This window comes from Homo sapiens, chromosome 7 (genome assembly GCF_000001405.40).
Source record: "Homo sapiens chromosome 7, GRCh38.p14 Primary Assembly".
NCBI classification, from domain to species: Eukaryota; Metazoa; Chordata; class Mammalia; order Primates; family Hominidae; genus Homo; species Homo sapiens.
This window is the reverse complement of record NC_000007.14, coordinates 101,695,987-101,702,009: the sequence shown is the minus strand read 5'-3', so window position 1 is coordinate 101,702,009 and position 6,023 is coordinate 101,695,987. Positions and strand designations below refer to the sequence as shown.

Genomic DNA, 6,023 nt, shown 5'->3' with positions numbered 1-6,023 from the left:
ACAGGCGTGAGCCACGGTGCCCGGCCAGGAGCATTTCTTTAGTCCCTTCTCTGCTGATCAGGAAGTAGCACCCCTTCCTCAAGTGTCTGTTGCTTGGTGCCAGTCCCTGCAAACCAAATAGACCCTGGGCTGTGATGGAGGTGCCGCTGTTATTTAACTGTATAGCTCAGGGTGTGGGAGGATGACGGGGCCATTGTCTGACCTTCTCCTTGCTCTGCACCGTCCGAGGGGAGCAGGCCCTGACAGCCTGGATGTTTGGGGGTAACGTCCCTCAAAAACATTCTTCCTACACCTGGATCTCCTCTTTCTGTTTGTTTCCCAGGACCCTCTCATTCAATCCGGCTCCCCGTCCTTCCGCAGAGGGTGACGAGTCTATGGCTCCAGCTCTCCTGGTACTTCAGGTGTTGGTCAGGCCCTCCCGGCATGGACTTCACCCTTCCTGATTGGGGAGGCTGGCTGGGATTCCATGAGCAGGGAGACAGTGGCTATTTCCAGTCCTAATTTCATCCCCTCTCCCACAATGGCTGTAGGTATTTCCCTAATGAGTGACCCAAACAGAAAACACGCCTTGCCAAAGCCAGCATCCCATTTTCCTAGAGTGTAGCCTTGCTGAAGGACTTTGACACAGATTCTTGTAAAAGAGTTATTCCCAGCCAGGTGTGGTGGCTTGTGTCCATAATCCCAGCACTCTGGGAGGCCGAGGAGAGAGAATCGCTTGAGTCCAGGAGTTTAATGCCAGCCTGGGCAACATAGCAAGCCCTTGTCCTTCCTACAAATAATTAAATAATTAGCCAGGTGTGGTGGCTTGCACCTGTGGTCCCAGCTACTCGGGAGGCGGAGGTGGGAGGATCACTTGAGCCCAGGAGTTTGAGGCTACAGTGAGCTATGATTACATCACTGCACTCCAGCCTGGGTGACAGTGCGAGACCCTCTCTCTCTTTAAAAAAAAAAAAAAAAAAAAACAGGCTAGGCACGGTGGCTCTTGCCTGTAATCCCAGCACTTTGGAAGGCCAAGGTGGGCAGATCACTTGAGGTCAGGAGTTCTAGACCAGCCTGACCAACATGGAGCAACCTCGTCTCTACTAAAAATACAAAATTAGCTGGGAGTGGTGGCGCATGCCTGTAATCCCAGCTGCTTGGGAGGCTGAGGCAGGAGAATCGCTTGAACCCGGGAGGCGAAGGTTGCGGTGAGCCAGGATAACGCCATTGCCCACTCCAGCCTGGGCAACAAGAGCGAAACTCCGTCTCAAAAAATAAAATAAAATAAAATAAAAAATAAAGAAGAGTTATTCTCTCCTTACAGGTGAGAAGGCAAGTGTATGGCTTACATCTTGGCCTGGCTACTTCATGTTATCTTATTTGCATCAAGAACTTCAGCCAGAGAGGGTGGATGACATGTCTGGCACGCAGTAACTGCTCAGTAAACAGAACTGCTATTGTCACCCGGCATCAACACCCCAGCCTCTGACCCCTTTGATTCCACACCGCCCCACCGGATGACATTGAATCCTTTTTGCAGCCCCAGGTCACACCAGTCCCTTCTCCCCAGGCCCCCCACCCCCACCCCATTAGAGCCAGATCGTAAAATCTCCAGGGGAGGGAGGCTGGTGACATCTTTAGTGGCGACATTTGGGTAAAAAATTCATGACCATCAGTTACTCTCGGAAGAGAGGGAAAAATGAGCCGTTTCCGCCGCTCCAGAACGTGGCTCTCCCTGGCTGCGAGTCCACAAATCTATTTTATGTGACGAGATCTATAGTCTAATAGAAGGAGCTTATCGCAGATTTAAGAAAAAGTGCACAATAAGACTGCACTCTTTCCGTACTCTCGGCCCCGCGAGGCGCCCTCCCCTAAGATGAGGGTGATGGCGCCTCCGGGAGCCACGGAGAGTTCATGGGTCAGCGGGGCCCCAAGGGGGTGATGGCTGGGGTGACCAGGGTAAGGACAAGGTGGCCCCCTTGCCTGGTCTTTGTTCTCCACCTTCCGGTGGGGGGTTGAGCCACTGCTCGTCACCACAGTGGAGAGGGCCCTGGGAAACCCACCACCCAGTTCTGTCAAAATGTCTCTGCTTGGCCTGGGAGTTTTGCAGCTCTGACCACCTGTCTGTTGGCCTCCTGTCTGTCTGCCTGTCTTTGTGCATGCCTGACTGTCTGCCTGTCCGTCTGTCTGCCTGTTTGTCTTTCTGCCTGCCCATCTGCCCGTCTCCCTGCCCACCTACCCATCTGTCTGCCTGTCTGCCTGCCAGTCTGCCTGTCTGTGGGTCTGCCTGTCCATCTGTCTGCCTGTCTGTCTGCCTGTCTGCCTGCCAGTCTGCCTGTCTGTCTGCCTGTCCATCTGTCTGCCGGTCTGCCTGCCAGTCTGCTTTCTGTCTGCCTGTCTGCCCATCTGCCTGTCTCCCTGCCCACCTGCCTATCTGCCTGTCTCTGTGTCTCCCTGACAATCTTCCTGTCTGTCTGCCAGTCTGCCTGCCTGTCTGTCTGCCTGCCTGTCTGCCTGCCCGCTTGTCCATCTATCTGCCTGCCTACCTGCCCGTCTGTCTGCCTACCCATCTGCCTGTCTGTCTGCATGCCTATTTGCTTGCCTTTTTGTCTGTCTGTCTGTCTGCCTATTGGCATGAAGGAGAAATGGAGCTTTCACTTCTACCACCATCTCTTATCCTGGGGAAGGATCTGAGGATCCAGGGCTGCGCTGAGGCAGGAGGAGGGGATGAAGGACAGGGCGTCTCCAGTCCTCTCTAAGACGCAAGAGCCTTGGATCCAGTCCCTGGAGACCTGGGGCAGCTCTGAAGAGGAAGGAGGTTGGTGCCCGCTGGGGTGATGGCCGTCCTGCAGGGAGCCCTGGCCCGATGCCTGCGGAGGTTGGAGCTGTGTCTGCAGGGGATGCCTTGGAGATGCCTGTGTAGGAGAAGGTGACAGAGGCTACAGACAGTGGGCAGGGCCGGGGTTCTGAGGCCCCAGATGGGAGCCTGCATCTGCTCCAGGGAACAGTCTCTGCCAGCACAGAGCCAGGCCCGGAGGCACACGGTGACTTCGGACTCTGCAGCAAGCCTCATGCCAGGGTGAGGACAGACTGTCCCACAGGTCCCATCGGTCAGCTGCTGAGGTCCATGTCCCCTAGGCCCAGGGCAGCCAGGGGGTGAGCCAGCTAGAGCCTCCTCAGACCCGTCATCTGCTGAACAAGTGACTGAGTGAATGTATGAATGGATGGCTTGGGGCGGGAAGGGGGCCTTGCCTCCCTAAGATGTCAGGGCATATGCAGAGTGGGTGCAGGTCTGCCTGGGTTCATTGGCACAAGAAGCCTGGGGCCCCCTGGGAATAAAGTCACCCTGGCCTCATGACACTCACCTTTCGACAATGGCTCAGTACTGGGAGGAGTGGGTGGGTGGGGAGTCATTTTGAATTTGTTTATTTGGTTAGTTGCACCTGCCTTGCTCAGAAAAGGATGTCAGGAGGCATACAGAGATGCATTTAAACAATAGGAGAGGCCAGGCGCAGTGGCTCATACCTGTACTCCCAGCACTTTGGGAGGCCGGGCGGGTGGATCATCTGAGGTGGTGAGTTCAAGACCAGCCTGGCCAACATGGCAAAACCTCGTCTCTACTAAAAACACAAAAATTAGCCGGGTGTGGTGGTGCGTGCCTGTAATCCCAGCTACTCAGGAGGCTGAGGCAGGAGAATCACTTGAACCCGGGAGGCAGAGTTGCAGTGAGCCGAGATTGTGCAGCACCAGCAGGAGGCCTGGGGTCTGGGGGTTGGTGGCAGCCGCAGCTCCATTGGGAACCAGCCAGTGCAGGCAAGGATGCACCTCTGCAGGGCTCAGGCAAGGTTGCCTGCTAAAGGCCAGTGCCACATTGGTACAAGGTGTGCCTTGAGGAAGGACGAGGAAAAGCAGCGGAAGATAGGGACTGGGCTGTTTGCCCATGAACAAGGTGGGCCGTCTGCTGCTCCGGGATCCCAAATGTTACCAGTTCGAGGTATGGTGGAATGGGACCCCTGGGAGTTGGACGCTCACAGATTGACTTCTACCAGCCTTTGCTCGGCCCCGGACTACCAACGTGCCTCTGTCATGGGGGTGCTGTCCAAAATGCTACCCTCCCCCTGCCCCTGTACCCACCTATGGGAGCACACAGAAGGCCTCTCTCCCTGGCCTCAGTCCTTGGAAAAAAACGTCCATATCCCCAGCACCTGCTTGGACCCATGAATGTAATGACTGATCGAGTTTCCCTCTTTGCTTTGCCTACTAGGACCTTAGAAATCCAATTGTCCCTCACTAGCCTTCCTCATTCCGGACCTTCACCTTGACCTCTCTCTCCAAGCCACACCAAACTCCAGCTCCCACACTCCTGCAACACCCTGAGCCTTGGCATGTGCCATTTCCTCTGCTGGAACCCCATTTCACCTGCACCCTTTTTTTTTTTTTTGAGACAGAGTCTTGCTCTGTCACCCAGGCTGGAGTGTAGTGGCACGATCTTTGCTCATTGCAACTTCCACCTCCTGGGTTCAAGCGATTCTCCTGCCTCAGCCTCCCTAGTAGATGGGACTACAGGCGCCCACCACCACATCTGGCTAATTTTTTGTATTTTAGTAGAGACAGGGCTTCATCATGTTTTCTAGGCTGGCCTTGAACTCCTGAGCTCAGGCAATCTGCCCACCTCAGCCTCCCAAAGTGCTAGGATTACAGGTGTGAGCCACCGCACCCAGCCCTCTTTTTTTTTTTTTTTGGAGATGGAGTCTTGTTCTGTTGCCCAGGCTGCAGTGCAGCAGTGCAGTGGTGCGATCTCGGCTCACTGCAACCTCTACCTCAAGCAATTCTGCCTCAGCCTCCCGAGCAGCGGGGATTACAGATGTGTGCCACCACGCCTGGCTAATTTACATATTTTTAGTAGAGATGGGGTTTCACCATGTTAGCCAGGCTGTTCTCGAACTCCTAACCTTAGGTGATCGACCCGCCTTGGCCTCCCAAAGGGATTATAGGCATGAGCCACCACTCCCGGCCATGCACCCACCCTCTTTAAAAAAAATTTTTTTTGGGATGGGGTCCCACTATGTTGCCCAGGCTGATCTCAAACACATGGCCTCAAGCAGTTCTCCTGCCTAAGCCTCCCAAAGCATTAGGATTACAGGCATGAGCCACCACACCCAGCCTGTACCCTCTTCTTCTTGCTAACTCCCCAGGTATCAGCTCAGAGGCCACTTCCTCCAGGAAGCCTTTCCTGACTCCCAGATTGAATCAGATCCCTCCATGTGCCCCAAAGCTCCCCTCCTGCTCTCATGGATGCCTGTGTGGCTCCAGGCTGGGACTGCCCGTGTCCTCACCAGAGTCCATCTCACGCTTCATGCAGGCAGCACCTCTGTCTACCTGGGCACTGCCATGTCTCTGGTGCCCAGTGCAAAGCCTGGCACATGTCAATGAGAATGCGCCCTTCACAGCTGTCCCTGGCTCTGCACTGGGCACCAGGGACACGGCAGCATTGAATGAATGAATGAATGAAGAATGAGTGATTTATTGTCACTTGTACAGTCATGGGAGATGGCTCCTAGGTCCAATCTGGTGTCCGAGGTGCTGGTAGGGACAACGGGGTCTTCTGCAGGCCTCAGTGTCCCAGTCATTGGTTTGGAATATGGTGTAACCAGAATCATCACTGCCAGGCTGACCTGGAGCCTTGGAGGGAGAGGGTAGCCGTTAGGTGCAAAAGAAGAGAATTCTTCTTTCTGGGACTCTGGGGAGCTGGAGGTGGAGCCCAGGAAATGGTGTTTTGGAGACGTTATTGTAATTTCCAATTTTTGTTTATTATTTTTATTTTATTTTATTTTTATTTATTTTTGAGATGGAGTCTCTCTCTGTCATCCAGGCTGGAGTGCAGTGGTGCAATCTCCGCTCACTGTAACCTCTACCTCCTGGGTTCAAGTGATTCTCTTGCCTCAGCTTCCCGAGTAGCTGGGACTACAGGAGTGTGCCACCATGCCAGGCTTTTTTTTTTTTTTTTTTTTTTTTAAGTAGAGGCGGGGTTTCACCATGTTGGC

At 54.2% G+C, this 6,023-nt stretch overlaps 1 annotated feature.

Moving 5' to 3' along the window:
• Positions 2,346–2,993: an enhancer, noted in NCBI's record as "H3K4me1 hESC enhancer chr7:101342297-101342944 (GRCh37/hg19 assembly coordinates)". NCBI's record gives its function as "activates a minimal SCP1, AML or CMV promoter by ChIP-STARR-seq in primed H9 embryonic stem cells {active_cell/tissue: H9 hESC(primed)}" and the evidence as "EXISTENCE:reporter gene assay evidence [ECO:0000049][PMID:30033119]".